This window comes from Homo sapiens, chromosome 17 (genome assembly GCF_000001405.40).
Source record: "Homo sapiens chromosome 17, GRCh38.p14 Primary Assembly".
NCBI classification, from domain to species: domain Eukaryota; kingdom Metazoa; phylum Chordata; class Mammalia; order Primates; family Hominidae; genus Homo; species Homo sapiens.
In genome coordinates, this window is record NC_000017.11 from 82,546,432 (window position 1) to 82,561,850 (window position 15,419).

Below are 15,419 nucleotides of genomic sequence, written 5' to 3' on the forward strand. Positions count from 1 at the left end.
AAATACTTTCCTGCACATTAACAAATGTTCACCTCTCGGTGCAGCTCGCCTTGTAAGTGTGGTGGGGAAGCTAGGAGTCTGAGTGCACATGCAGGAGCTCTTCGCTGCAGGTCCCGAGTGGAGGGAGAGGTAATCTGTAGAGTGCCCCAAGAGTGAAGTGCTGCGTCCCAGTGTCAAACAGAGGTAACACCTCGCTTTTCTTTTCCTTTTTTTTAAACGGTGACGGGGGTCTCACCATGTTGCCCAGGCTGGTCTTGAACTCCTGGGCTCAAGTGTTCCTCCCACCTCAGACTCCCAAGTTCAGGGATAATAGGTGTAAGCCACTGAGCCCAACCTAAAACTCGCTTTTAAATAAAGAACTCAGGCCGGGTGCGGTGGCTCACACCTGGAATCCCAGCACTTTGGGAGGCCGAGGCAGATGGATCACCTGAGGTCAGGGGATTGAGACCATCCCGCCCAACATGGTGAAACCCCGTCTCTACTAAAAATACCAAAATTAGTCGGGCGTGGTGGTGGGTGCCTGTAGTCCCAGCTACTCTGGAGGCTGAGGTGGGAGAATCACTTGAACCCGGGAGGTGGAGGTCACAGTGAGCCGAGATGGCACCACTGCACTCCAACCTGGGCGACAGGAGCAAAAACTCCATCAAAAAAAAAAAAAAAGGAAGGAGAAAGAAAGAAAGAATACACTGATCTCTCTTATAGTGTATACTGTCTATTACTACTGATTTTAAAGCTACAACCTTAAGCATCATACTCCCTGTGTTTAGAATATTCAGGGTGTAGTATTGTGGTTCACATTGTAGTATTGTGGTTCTCCATTGTGGTTCCCCGGAAGTGATCAAGGTGATACTTTACATTCAGGGTGTCCAGTCTTTAGGCTTTCCTGGGCCACATTGGAAAAAGTATTGTCTACACTAACAAGAGCTGGTAAGCTGAAAAAATCACAAAAATCATAATGTTTTAAGAAAGTTTATGAATTTGTATTGGGCCACATTCAAAGCCATCCTGGGCTGCATGCAGCCCACGGGCCGTGGGTTGGACAAGCTTGTTTTAAGAGTTTAGGAAGAAAAATAATACTTCTGGTTATTTTTTTCATCCTGCTTAGTTGCTATTTTTCTGTTTTACAGTGTGCAATACTGTAATATAATTTATACATATATTAATATATTGTTGCCAGCTTATTTTTACTTTAAACTTTTTTTTGAGGAATATTTCACATAAAACAAACTTAAGGGTACCTTTCAAAGAGTTTTGACAGCTGTATACACCATGTAGCCGAAATCACAATCAAAATAATAGATCCAGATATTACCCCTCACCCCAAACCTTCCTCTTGCCCCTTGGCAGTCAGCCTCATCCCCCTGGAGAGTCCCAGACACTCAACTCTGTGCCTCCCCTCCCGTAGAAGTGTTTTCTTCCAGGGTTTCATAAACATGGAATCATGTAGAATATACTGGTGTTTGGCTCGCTCTTATTCACATGGTATATTTGAGGTTCATCAGTGTTACTTGTGTGGGCAGTTTTCCTTTGCGATTGCTGGGCGGCAGCTGAGTGGATTCTCTTCTATGGATGTACCCCCATTTGTGGATCCATTCACCTACGGCTGACTGTCTAGACAGTGTCCAGTCTGGGCTGCTGTGCATCACGCTGCTGTGAACGTCTGTGTAGGAGTCACATTTGTGTGAACTGGTGCTCTCACTTCTCTTGGCAGATAACTACAAGTACGAGTGGTGGGGCCAGGTGGTCAGTGTGCATTTATTTCACAGAAAAGCTGACCCACTTTTCCAGAGCAGTTGCACCAGTTTGTATTCTTGCTGGCAGTATGTGACAGCTAGTTGCTCCATATCCTTGTCAGCACTTGGTTTTGTCAGTCTTCTTATATTAGCCATTATCTGGGTGTGTAGTGGTATGTCAGTATGTGTATTTTTTTTTAATACTTTGGATCATTTACATCAACCGTGGTTTAATTTGCCTTGCTGTTGAGCATCTCTACATGTGCTTTTGGCCATTTCTATGTCATCTGTAGTGAATGACCATTTTTAATGGGTTGTTTACCTTCTTACTGAATATTAAGCTTTGTTTATATACCCTGAACAGAAGTCCTTTGTGAGATAGGTGTATTGTGAATATTTTCTCCCATTCCATCCTTTGCCCTGTTTGTTGATACTGTATTTCATATATTCAAATATTGATTTCTACTTAATTTTTCACTTAGAGGTGTACAGTCAAAAGCATTTGGAGGCTACTGCTCAGCTGAATTAGCAGAAGGAATTGCTGTGGACTGAATAGAGGAAGGAAAGGACCCAGGCGCTGTCCCACAGCCTCTCCCGTGACCTCACCCTGGGGGAGGCATGGGTGTTTGGCAGAGAGCCCTTTTTGGTTTTACGTGAATGTCATTTGGGCGGGTGTGGGGTAGAATGATCTCAAGAGCATTCTCACCTCCGAGGAGCGGTTGCGTCTCGATGCATCGGCACAGGAGGGCTGTGCACTTTCCACTGCCACCACCCGTGAGACCTCCAGAGAGCCTGACCCTGCCATCTGCACTAAGATCCCCAGCTGTTGTCTGGTGATCCAGATGAGAGGACCAGCGTGATAGTTTCTCACAGCAGCCTCTGGCAGGACCTGGAGTGGAAATCTTCCTTAGTCTAAAACACATCCCGAATGACTGAACATTATAGGAGAATGTGTCTTTGTTTTACGAGGCCACTTGAAGTCCACCTCCCTCCTCTTCTGGGTGTGGCCCTTGCCTGTAGCTCCGAGTGTGAGGATCTTAAGTGTGAGGGTGTGTGCTCCTGAGCCAGCCTTTACCCCAACACCAAGTTGCCACACCGAACTGCAGACCTGGCAGCCCTGTCCAGCAACTTCCTTATCACAGTTACAGTGCAGCAAATGGGAGAGGGGCCAAAACCCCCAAAATTATTCTCCTTATTACAGTTACAGTACAGCAAATGGGAGAGGGGGGCCAAACCCCCAAAATTATTCTCCTTATTACAGTTACAGTACAGCAAATGGGAGAGGGGCCAAAACCCCCAAAATTATTCTCCTTATTACAGTTACAGTGCAGCAAATGGGAGAGGGGGGCCAAAACCCCAAAATTATTCTCCTTATTACAGTTGCAGTGCAGCAAATGGGAGATGGGGGGCAAAACCCCCCAAATTACTCTCCTTATTACAGTTGCAGTGCAGCAAATGGGAGATGGGGGCCAAAACCCCCCAAATTACTCTCCAAGCCAAAGGAAAACTCTGGATGCTCGATAGCCACTTACAGAGCTGCTCATCACATGCGTTGTTGGAACACCTAACACTAGCCTCCTGGTTATGAATGTTTCTGGAATCGAGCCTCCCTGATATGTGCCTACAGAAGCGGATCTGCCTGAGGACATCCGCCATTTCCTAATATTTATACCTTAGAATATAGAGCCAGCTTCATAACATGTGGGGTCCAGTGCAGAATGAAAACATGGGACCTGTAGTTGAGAAAGCAGGAAAAGGCCGGGCCCAGTGGCTCATGCCTGTAATGCCAGCACTTTGGGAGATTGAGGTGGGTGCATCACTTGAGCCCAGGAATTTGAGACCAGCTTCAGAAATACAGTGAGACCCCCATCTCTACAAAAACAAAACAGGCAGGTGTGGTGGTACGTGCCTGTAGTCCCAGCTATTCAGGAGGCTGAGGCGGGAGGATTGCTTCAGCCTGGGCTTGCAGTGAGCCATGATTGTGCCACTGCCTTCCAGCCTGGGCGACACTGCAAGACCTTGTCTCTAAACAAACACACACACACACACACAAAGAGCTTCTTTATGTCTTCTGTGGATTCCTGGCCTGCCATAGTGTTTTTAATTTGCCACTTGACTTCAAGCTTTCCCAGGAATACGTGTCTGAAGCAAGGCACCCCTGTTCACACCCCACCAGGGACATTGGACAGTTGTGGGGGAAGAAGGGGGTGCAGGAGCAAGATGGGCTGTGTCCCATTGAACTTCACTACAGAACACCAATTTAAAGATAAATGATTAGGGATTTCAAGATGTTGGCAGTAAGGCATTAAACTCCATGCCTGGCCCTTCTGAGGCGGGCTTTTTTTTTTTTTTTTTTGAGATGGAGTCTTGCTCTGTCCCCCAGGCGGGAGTGCAGTGGCGCAATCTCGGCTCACTACAAGCTCCGCCTCCCGGGTTCACGCCATTCTCCTGCCTCAGCCTCCCGAGTAGCTGGGACTACAGGCGCCCGCCACCACGCCCGGCTAATTTTTGTTGTATTTTTTAATAGAGACAGGGTTTCACCATGTTAGCCAGGATGGTCTCGATCTTCTGACCTTGTGATCCGCCTGCCTCAGCCTCCCAAAGTGCTGGGATGACAGGTGTGGGCCACGGCGCCGGCCCTGAGGTGGGCTTTGTGCAGCTGTGCTGGCCACACAAGCCTGAAACCGGCCTTGTCTGTATGGAAAAGTTCTGTGTCAAAACTAGGTGGTTTCTAAGTCACTGTGAAGCACTGCGTGCAGTAAGCGTGCGTCACTGAAAGATGACACTTGCAAGCCAGTACTGAGCCGGGTCGTTAGGTGTCAAAGCCTGTTTTAAGCTTCGGAGGCTTAGGTTAGAAGATTTGTGCTGAAAGGCCGGAAGTGGTGGCTCACGCCTGTCATCCCAGCACTTTGGGAGGCCGAGGCGGGCGGATCACAAGCTCAGGAGACTGAGACCATCCTGGCTAACACGGTGAAACCCCGTCTCTACTAAAAATCCAAAAAATTAGCCGGGCGTGGTGGCGGGCACCTGTAGTCCTAGCTACTCGGGAGGCTGAGGCAGGAGAATGGCGTGAACCTGGGAGGCGGAGTTTGCAGTGAGCTTAGATTGCACCTCTGCACTCCAGCCTGGGCGATAGAGCGAGACTCCATCTCAAAAAAAAAAATTAAAAAAAAAATAAAAATAAACATGATGGCATGTCATGAGTTTTGAAGGATAAGAAGTTAAAGCTGGCCAGGCACGGTGGCTCATGCCTGCAATCCCAGCACTTTGGGAGGTCAAGGCGGGTGGATCACCTGAGGTCAGGAGTTTGAGACCAGCCTGGCCATCATGGTGAAACCCTGTCTGTACTAAAAAAAATTACAAAAAATTAGCCAGGTGTGGGGACATGTGCTTGTAGTCTTAGCTACTTGGGAAACTGAGGCAGGAGACTCACTTGAACTTGAGAGATGGAGGTTGCAATGAGCTGAGATCACGCCACTGCATTCCAGCCTGGGCAACAGAGCGAGTCTATCTAAAAAATAAAAATAAAAAACATAAAAATTTGAGGCTGAGGTGATAGTTGCTGCTTGAGGTTTATTGCTGATGACAAAGTGTGGGCTATTTAGGGTTTCTAATGTATTTCTCATTGTCTTAAACGGTCTTCAGCTCTGTCAAGCTGTTTATTTGTAATTTATGTGCTTTAAGATGACACTTGCCACTCAGACCTCCTCCAAGGAGGGGCAGGGGAGCCCATTCCTGGGCCTGGCACGGTGCTCCACCTCCTGCACACCCCTTTCTGGGGCAGGTCCTTGGACTGTGGGGAAGCACCTGCTGCACTCTGGGTGGTGGCAGCCTTGGGCCCTGGGCTCCCCCTTGTGGAGTCCTCAGGGTGTGAGGCACCATAAAATTATTCAAAAAATGAAGTGGCTTCCAAACACTCTCCATGTCCGCACTCCCCTCGCGGTGGACCAAGGCACACGCTCCCAGCCTGGCCACAGGCCTAGACTAGTGTTGAGGTTTGCATTGGACATGTTGAAGGCTTACAAATGTTTTTCTTTTTCTTTTGAAATTACTTCAGAATTAAAGCAAAATTGCAAAAATAGTACAGAGAACTTCCGTTTTCCCAGATTCCCACTCCGTTAGTGTTTCACCAAACCCGCATGTTCAGTCTCTCTCCCTCTCCTTAAACATTCGAGGGGCAGTTGCAAAGGTGACGCTTTCCCTGCAGGCATCCTCTTCTGTGCCTGCCCTGGTGAGAACTGCTATGGCAACTGTGTCCTAATGGCCGACCTTCTCCAGGCTTCACCCACCGTCGCTCCTGCCCTTCACTGATAGGCCCTGTGTCACACTGAACCCTCCTGTCGCTTTAATCCTCTTCTATGTGTGGCCATCCTCAGCCTTTGTCTTCTGTGACATTGATATTTTTGAAGAGCACAGCATTAGTGATTTCGTCGAACGTCCCTCAGTTAGGATTTGTTGGATGTTTCCTCTTGATTAGATCTAGGTTAGTTACCTTTGGCAGGAACTCTAGAGGTGAAGTTGTGTCCTCTCAGGGCACCATGGCCGTGTTACCCTGGTGTCGTTTTGTGCCGTGGACAATGATGCTGGCTGTGAGCACTTGGCTGAGGTGGTTGAAGAGCAGCATCCCAAACAGGGCTCTGGAGTGCAGAGTGACCTCTGCAGCCACTCTGCTCAAGCGTCTCCGCGTGCTCTGCAAGGCTCCAAACCGGAGAGGTGCTCTGTAGGTCACCCCGTTACGTAAAATCACAGACTGGAAAGAGTTTGTTAGATTTTCTTTCTTTTTTATTTTTGGAGACAGTCTTGCTCTGTTGCCGAGGCTGCAGTGCAGTGACATGATCTCGGCTCATTGCAACCTCTGCCTCCTGAGTTCAAGCGATTCTCCTGCCTCAGCCTCCGGAGTAGCTGGGATTACAGTCACGCGCCACCACACCTGGCTGATTTTTGTATTTTTAGTAGAGATGGGGTTTCACTATGTTGGCCAGGCTGATCTCGAACTCCTGAGCTCAGGTGATCTGCCTGCCAAGGCCTCCCAAAGTGCTGGGATTACAGGCGTGAGCCACCGTGCCCAGCCAGACTTGTTTTTTAAACAGGCAGAAAGGAGCTCACCCATGGAGCATTTTTTCTGAGTCGCCTGAGTTATCTGTGTCACGGCAGAAAAGGACGTCAGGAGTCTGGGGGAAGCAGGGCCATCCTGGAGGCCACAGCCCAGGCAGGTGCCAAGGCCAAAGGCAGCTCTTCTGTGCTTGCCTCTCAGAGTGGGACTGCCTGGGACCAGACCTGCTGCTCCTGAGCTGTGTTGGCCCTGGCCTTGTCTCCTCTGCATGTCAAGGACACATGACCTGCTTGAATGGCAGGGGCTTTTGTTATGCAGGTTCCCAGCCATGCCGTCACTCCACAGAAGCACAAACATGGTTTTCGGGGACTTTGGATGTTTCTGGAGGGGTCTGACTCTGGGTCTGTGTTCATGAGATCCACATTCACAGGCGTGGCTGCGAAGAGGCCCCTAGACCTTGGGATGTGTGCTGAGCCCTTAAGACATGAACCACCACTAGAATCGGCTAAGCTCCAGGGACACAGCAGTTGCGCCTGTGGTGGAGATTGTCCCAGACGGACGTTTGTCCCGTTGCTGTGACGCAGATGGTGGATGGGCTGTGGGGCTGCTTTCAAGTACTTTTTTTTTTATTTCCCGAGATGGAGTCTTGCTCTGTTGCCAGGCTGGAGGGCAGTGGCGTGATCTCAGCTCACTGCAGTCTCCGCCTCCCAGGTTCATGCCATTCTCCTGCCTCAGTCTCCCGAGTATTTGGGACTACAGGCGCCCACCACCACGCCTGGGTAATTTTTGTATTTTTAGTAGAGATGGGGTTTCACCATGTTAGCCAGGATGGTCTCGAACTCCTGAGCTTGTGATCCGCCCACCTCGGCCTCCCAAAGTGCTGGGATTACAGGCGTGAGCCACCGGACGTGGCCTCAAGTACTTTTTTGAAACTGGTTGTAGGGAATAGTTTGACAAATCGGCTAGTTGGTTGAACTTGCTTTGCATAAAGAGACATCACTAAATATAACTCTCCTTAAAGTTGGGGACTTATTTAAATCTGATTCATTTCTGTGGGGCTGTATGATGTTGGTTAATACTGAAGTCTTGCAACAAAGTCTGGCTTTGTTCCTAAGGAACCTGTCTTTGGAGTCCTTAGAGCTTCTTCGTGAGTCTGTTAATTCATAAACTCCAGACCATTGGCCTGCACGTTGCATTTGTAATAATTTCCATTCCCACAAGAAACTAGAACAGGAGAATGAGAGAGCCAGGCTGGGAGAAGGATGTTTGCGACACTGAATCCAGTTTAAGTTGTTGGTTTGTTCAAGTGAAGGAAATGGAATTTTTATCAGGGCCCTCTGAACAGGTTTGAAACTTTACTTAGGGATTTGCCATTCTGCTTTCTGCCACCTAGTGTTCCTTTCCTGTAGTGCATCTCTTAACCTGTCCCTTCCTTCCATTTTTGGTCAGACGTCTCAGGCTTGTAAACAGATTCCTAGTCTATACTGAGCTTCATTACAAATCTTGCAGAATCCAGTGAGGTTTTTTTTTTTTTTCTTTTTTTCCAAGACAGAGTCTCGCTCTGTCGCCCAGGCTGGAGTGCAGTGGCTCGATCTGGGCTCACTGCAACCTCCGCCTCCCACGTTCAAGCAATTCTTCCTGCCTCAGCCTCCCAAGTAGCTGGGATTACAGGTGTGGGCCACCATGCCCGACTAATTTTTTTTTTGTTTTTAATAGTGGCAGCGTTTCACCATATTGGCCAGGCTGGGTTCGAACTCCTGACCTCAGGTGATCTGCCCGCCTCGGCCTCCCAAAGTGCTGGGATTACAGGCGTGAGCCACTGCTCCCAGCCCCAAATAAAGTACTTTTAGGAACACACAGTGCCAGGAATTGGGATAGGCTGACTGTATGAGACAGCCCCCTCATCAGCCTAGTGTCTTCCAGACACTTAAACTCCATCATTGACCCCAAGTGCTTCTGTGGAGGAAAGTTGCAGGGCCAGGGAAGAGGCACCTCAGGCCTTGGGAAGTCAGGGGCCCTTCTAGCCAAGACACCAGCTGCATGTGGACCTGCACTGAGCTCATTGCCCTGCAGCCATGTGGGGAAGACACAGGTCCCAGGAGGATCTAACCCCCGGCATCTGGTTTCGCCCCCACCTCCGTTCTGTTGTAATATTTTGCGGCTCTTTTTAGTGTCATGAGGCAACTCATCCAAAATTATTCCACAGTTTTTAATTTCTAGTTTTGAAAAGGGGAACAAGGATTTCCAAGGTAACTGAACTCCATAGAGAACCTGAAAACAGTTTTAATGTATCTTGTTTCGAATGTAACCTACATTCAAATAAATTATAATTATAGTGTGGGTGTCCATGCAGTCACAACCCAGGTAAAAGAAATAGGTCACTGTCACCGGGCGCGGTGGCTCACGCCTGTAATCCCAGCACTTTGGGAGGCTGAGGCGGGCGGATCACAAGGTCAGGAGATCGAGACCATCCTGGCTAACATGGTGAAACCCCGTCTCTACTAAAAATACAAAAAAAAAAAAAAATTGGCGTGGGGGCGGGCGCCTGTAGTCCCAGCTACTCGGGAGGCTGAGGCAGGAGAATGGCGTGAACCTGGGAGGCGGAGCTTGCAGTGAGCCGAGATTGTGCCACTGCACTCCAGCCTGGGCGAAAGCAAGACTCTATCACAAAAAAAAAAAAAAAAAAAAAAAAAAAAAAAGAAATAGGTCATGGTCAGCACAAAAGCATAGAAAATGGCACAGTGAACCCCCACGCCTGTCATATGATCCACATTTTGCTCATTTCTACATCCATCTGCATGGACGGCTTTTATTTTTTTAAACTGTCTATTGAAGTATACTGTCTATACAGAAAAGTGTGTGTATCGTGCGTATGCAACTGATGCATTTTTACACACAGGAACTCTCACTGACGCAGTCAGAATCTAGATGAAGAAAAAGCAAGTTGGCCGGGCACGGTGGCTCACGCCTGTAATCCCAGCACTTTGGGAGGCCGAGGTGGGCGGATCATGAGGTCAGGAGATTGAGACCATCCTGGACAACATGGTGAAACCCCATCTCTACTAAAAATACAAAAATTAGCAGGGCATGGTGGCGGGCGCCTGTAATCCCAGCTACTCAGGAGACTGAGGCAGGAGGATCGCTTGAACCAGGGAGTCGAAGGTTGCAGTGAGCCAAGATTGTTCCATTGCACTCCAGTCTGGGCAATAGAGTGAGACTCCGTCTAAAAAAAAAAAAAGCAAGTTACCAGGACATCTGGATAGCTTTTAAATGTATTCCATGGCTCATCAACGTGGAGAGGCTCACACTTAGATGAAAACACAGAGCACCTCCCTCACCTTGCTGGGGCTGGGGCTGGGGCTGGGGCTGGGGCTGGGCTTGTTCTGTGGCAGCCAGGATGGAGGACGAACAGCACATCCCCATGCTTTTGGTCAGGCTGTGAGCAGATGGCCAGCAGCACCTTCCTGCCTCTTTTTTTTATTTTTATTTTTATTTTTTTTTGAGACGGAGTCTTTGTCACCCAGGCTAGAGTGCAGTGGCAGGATCTTGGTTCACTGCAGCCTCCACCTCCTGGGTTCAAGCGATTCTTCAGCCTCAGCCTCAGCCTCCTGAGTAATTGGGATTACAGGCACGTGTCACCACACCTGGCTAATTTTTGTATTTTTAGTAGAGTCAGGGTCTCACCATGTTGGCCAGGCTAGTCTTGAACTCCTGACCTCAGGTGATCCACCTGCTTCGGCCTCCCAAAGTGCTGGGATGACAGGCGTGAGCCACCGTGTCCAGCCTCTCTTTTATTTTTATTTTATTATTATTATTTTTTATTTTTTTTTTGAGACAGAGTTGCTCTTGTTGCCCAGGCTGGAGTGCAATGGTGTGATGATCTCAGCTCACTGCAACCTCCACCTCCCAGGCTCAAGCAATTCTCCTGCCTCAGCCTCCCAAGTAGCTGGGATTACAGGCAGGTACCACCACGCCTGGCTAATTTTGTATTTTTAATAGAGATGGGGTTTCTCCATGTTGGTCAGGCTGGTCTCGAACTCCTGACCTCAGGTGATCCTTCCGCCTCAGCCTCCCAAAGTGCTGGGATTACAGGCGTGAGCCACCGTGCCTGGCCTATTTTTATTTTTTATATATATATATTTTTGAGACAGAATCTCACACTGTCACCCAGGCTGGAGTGCAGTGGCACAATCTCAGTTCACTGCAACCTCCGCTCCCCAGGTTCAAGCGATTCTCGTGCCTCAGCCTCCCAAGTAGCTGGGATTACATGCGCGTGCCACCATGCCTGGCTGATTTTTGTATTTTTAGTAGACATGGTGTTTCACCGTGTTGGCCAGGCTGGTCTTGAACTCCTGACCTCTGGTGATCCACCTGCCTTGGCCTCCAAAAGTGCTGAGGATTACAGGTGTGAGCCACTGTGTCCGGCCTCTGCCTTTTTTAAAAAAACTAGAAATGGGATCTTGCTCTGTTGTCCAGGCTAGAGTGCAGTGGTATGATCACAGCTCACTGCAGCCTCAAACTCCCAGGGTCAAGCAATCCTCCTGCCTCAGCCTCTGAGTCACTGGAACTACAGGTGTGCACCACCATCCTGGGTAAGTTTTTAAACATTTTTTGTAGATATGTGGGGGTCTTGCTATGTTACTGATGCTGGTCTTGAACTCCTGGGCTCAAGTGATCTTCCTGCTTTGGCCTCCCTCAATGCCGGGATTACAGGTGTGAGCAACCGCGTCTGGCCCCTTTCCTCATTTTAAATGCCCTGTGCTCCTGAGGATCCTCTGCAGTGGAATGTCCTCACAGCACTAATTGTCTGTTGTCTTTAATTGGAAACATTGGGGTTGGGTACAGTGGCCCATGCCTGTGCTTCCAGTACTTTGGGAGGCCAAGACGGGAGGATCACTTGAGCCCAGGAGTTTGTGACCAGCCTGGGTGACATTGGGAGACCTTGTCTCTACAAAAAATGATAATAATAAAAATTAGCTGAACATGGTGGCGTGTGCCTGTAGTCCTAGCTGCTCGAGGCTGAGACAGGAGGATCCCTTGAGCCTGGGAAGTTGAGGCTGCAGTGAGCTGTGATTGCGTTGCTGCACTCCAACCTGGGCTACGGAGCGAGACCCTGCCTGAAAACGAAAAGGAAACAGAACCGATGCAAGGGAAGGATGGCTCAGTGTGGCAGTGCCCTGTCCGCGGAGAGCACTCAGCCGGGTCTGGACGAGGACGTTGTGCGTAACTCTACGGAGAAGTACGAGCTCACAGATAATATGGGGGTGTGGTCCTGTTGTGTGAGAAGCAGACGAAACACTAAGAGGACATTGGGTTCCCCATCATTCCAGGGCTACTGCCCCCACAGGGGAGGAAGAGATCGCCTCTTTCCCTGTTGGAATTGTGCACACTGCTGGAGCCCTCTCCTGGGAGGACCGGCGGGGAGTCTGTTCTGCTGGTCAAGGCTGGGCTTTCTGCAGAAGTTCAGGGTGGACATGGAATAAATATAGCACAGTGGACACCAGATGTGTCTGTGGGAAGAAGTCACTGTTCACATCTTTACATCTTTTTTTTTTTGAGAGCTCTGTCGCCCAGGCTGGAGTGCAGTGGCGTGATCTCGGCTCACTGCAAGCTCCGCCTCCTGGGTTCATGCCATTCTCCTGCCTCAGCCTCCCGAGTAGCTGGGACTGCAGGTGCCTGCCACCACGCCTGGCTAGTTTTTTGTGTTTTTTTCAGTAGAGACGGGGTTTCACCGTGTTATCCAGGATGGTCTCGATCTCCTGACCTCGTGATCTGCCCAACTTGGTCTCCCAGAGTGCTGGAATTACAGGTGTGAGCCACTGCGCCTGGCCCACGCTGGTTAATTTTTATGTTTTTAGTAGCAATGGGGTTTCACCGTGTTGGTCAGGCTGGTCTCGAACTTCTGACCTCAGGGGATCCTCCTGCCTCGGCCTCCCAAAGTGCTGGGATGACAGGCGTGAGCTACTGAGCCTGGCTTAGTAGTACAGTGTTTGATTTGGTGTCCTGAGTGTCTGTATGTGGATGTGGAGTGCGGTTTTCCACTGAGCTTCAGTCTGAGGTTGCGCGGTTGGTGCTCGCTGTTCTTCCCATCTCTGCTACTGGCTGGCGACCGTGCGGACTCCACAGCTGCGCTCAGCTCAGAGCCAGCTTCGTGTGCAGAGCCCAGCAGAGATGGCGGAGCCACTTGGCATCCAAGCACCTTGCCCTGTTTGTGTCCACCTGGTTCTGCCGTGAGAACCCCTGGGTTTTAAGCCGTTAGGCTGGTATGAGAGGGTGGGTGGTCCTGGGAACACGTCCCCACGTGGGACGGGCTGCTCATTAGCAGTGAGGAGGACTCAGGAGATGATGGGTGGGAGTCTAGGGTGGCTTTCAGATCCTGCTGGAACCTCGTGCCAGGCTGGTCTTCCTTGTTGTCCTCAGAGGAGGTGACAGCTGTACACACACACCACCCCCCACCCACCCCCCTTGTTTGCAGACTCTAGAAGTAATGTCTGTTGAAAGGGAGCTAAGCTCAGTCGGATCTCAGATACATGGCAGGTGATCAGTTTTATTATTTATTATGTATTTATTTAGAGCAGCACTGAAAGCTTATTAAAAAGCTTTAGAGCAGGAAGGAAAAGAGGTAAAGTACACCTGGAAGAGGGCCAAGTGGGTGACTTGAGAGATTAAGTGCCGGTTTTCTTCTAAAATGTAGTGATAAACAGGTGTTTGCATCTGGAAAGTCTAAAGCCAGCAGTGAATGCCACTGAATGTGAAGTGTTGCAGATCTTTGCTCTGGATAGACTTTTTTTTTTTTTTTTTTTTTTTTAATGGAGTCTCGCTCTGTCGCCCTGGCTGGAGTGCAGTGGCAGGATCTCGGCTCGCTGCAGCCTCTGCCTCCCGGGTTCAAGAGATTCTCCTGCCTTAGCCTCCCGAGTAGCTGGGATTACACGTGTGTGCCACCATGCCTGGCTTATTTTTTTTTGTATTTTTAGTAGAGATGGGGTTTCAGAGTGTTAGGCAGGATGGTCTCGATCTCCTGACCTCATGATCTGCCTGCCTCGGCCTCCCAAAGTCCTGGAATTACAGGCATGAACCACTGCGCCCGGCCCTTCTCGCTGTTATTTAAGGGAAGCGGTCTCACTGTGTGGCACAGGCTGGTCTCAAACTATCCTCCTGTTTGGCTTCCCAAAGTGCTAGGATTACAGGAGTGGGCCACCGTGCCCGGCCCTCCTCGCTGTTATTTAAGGGAAGCGGTCTCACTGTGTGGCGCAGGCTGGCTTTGAGCTCCTGGGCTCCGGCGGTTCCACCCTGGCGCTGTGGTGCAGCTGGAAGCATTTTGCTGTCTTTTGTTTGACTGATTCTTTTTATTTTTCCTTTGTTTCCATTGGTTTCGATACCAGTGGTCTGCTTCTCTCTTGGTCTTCGTTGATTCAGTTAATAATTTGCAAGGATGTAAAATAAAATAGAGCTTTATAGACCAAAAGATCGTTGTCTTAAATATATCATTTATAGACGAGATCAGGCATGGTGGTTCACGCCTGTAATTTCAGCACTTTTGGAGACTGAGGTGGGTGGATCACTTGAGCCCAGGAGTTTGAGACCAGCCTGGGAAACAGCCTGGCATGGTGGCATGCGCCTCTAGTCCCAGCTACTCAGGAAGTTGATGCGGAGGATCGCTTGAGCCTGTGAGTTCGAGGCTGCAGTGGGTCAGTGATCGTGCCACTGCTCTCCAGCCTGGGTCATAGGGGTCTTTGTTGGCCAGGCTAGTCTCAAATTCCTGCACTCAAGCAATCCTCCCTCCCCAGCCTCCCAAAGTGCTAGGATTACAGATGTGAGTCACTGCCCAGCCTTCAGACGTTTTCTCCTGAAGGTGAACAAGCAAAGAAGGTGGCTTACTTTTTCAGTGTCTTAACAGGGGTTTTGGCAGAGAAGCTTTTTCAGTTTTCATGATGGGCGCGTTTTGAAGGCCAGAGCTGATGGCACTGGTGGATGGACTCCTGTATTCTGGCCTGAGCACCTGAGTGCTGCCTGTCACTGCTGAGGGGAGTCCTGGGAGAGGAGCGTGGGCTGGGAGTCTTGTTTGAGACCCCCAGTGTTGATGCATATGAGGGGCCAGAGTGTAGGGAGACCCTGGAGCTGGAAGTGGGGATTTTGGAGCCATTTGGGTATATGTGTAGAGTTCAAGGTCTGAGGCCTGGATGAGCCAGGAGTGAGGGTAGAGGGAGAAACTGGAGTCGAGGCCTGGAGCATTGAACCTTGAACATCGGGCGGTAAAGAGAGGAGGCTCCGGTAAGGGGTTGGAAAGGAGTGCTGCAAAGTGGGAACCAGAGTCTGGTGTCCTGGACATCCAGGAGGTGGCCACTCTGTGAGGGTCTGCTCTGTACACCAAGACCGTGGGGAGGACTGGCCGTCCTGCGTGTGCCTCACGGGGAAAGGAGAAGGGCGAGGGGAGGCAGCGGCAGCACGGCAAAGAAGCGAGTGTTGAAACCCCTCAGGTGCTGTCCTTCCCGACCCCGGCTAGAGGGTTGGGAAGTGTCTTCTTGGAGACGTCCCTGAAGCGGGAGGGCCATGGCGTAGCTTCCGACCTCCACAGGCTGGACCCTTCTTGGGCAGGTGCCTGAAGCGGGAGGGCCATGGCGTAGCCTCCGACC

The 15,419-nt window shown here is 50.0% G+C and overlaps 1 protein-coding gene across 3 annotated transcripts in view, besides 3 other annotated features; it reads left to right on the top strand.

The window, feature by feature from the left end:
- FOXK2 (forkhead box K2) overlaps positions 1–15,419 on the top strand; it is an 84,871-nt gene that overhangs the window by 26,700 nt on the left and 42,752 nt on the right. The window lies entirely within an intron of this gene.
- Positions 5,442–5,736: a silencer, noted in NCBI's record as "tiled region #7485; HepG2 Repressive DNase unmatched - State 5:Enh". NCBI's record gives its function as "represses a minimal TATA promoter and a strong SV40 promoter by Sharpr-MPRA in HepG2 cells {active_cell/tissue: HepG2}" and the evidence as "EXISTENCE:reporter gene assay evidence [ECO:0000049][PMID:27701403]".
- Positions 5,823–6,447: an enhancer, noted in NCBI's record as "H3K4me1 hESC enhancer chr17:80510130-80510754 (GRCh37/hg19 assembly coordinates)". NCBI's record gives its function as "activates a minimal SCP1, AML or CMV promoter by ChIP-STARR-seq in naive H9 embryonic stem cells {active_cell/tissue: H9 hESC(naive)}" and the evidence as "EXISTENCE:reporter gene assay evidence [ECO:0000049][PMID:30033119]".
- Positions 6,914–7,085: a silencer, noted in NCBI's record as "fragment chr17:80511221-80511392 (GRCh37/hg19 assembly coordinates)". NCBI's record gives its function as "represses an EF-1alpha promoter that drives an FKBP-Casp9 reporter gene in an ReSE screen in HepG2 liver carcinoma cells {active_cell/tissue: HepG2}" and the evidence as "EXISTENCE:reporter gene assay evidence [ECO:0000049][PMID:32094911]".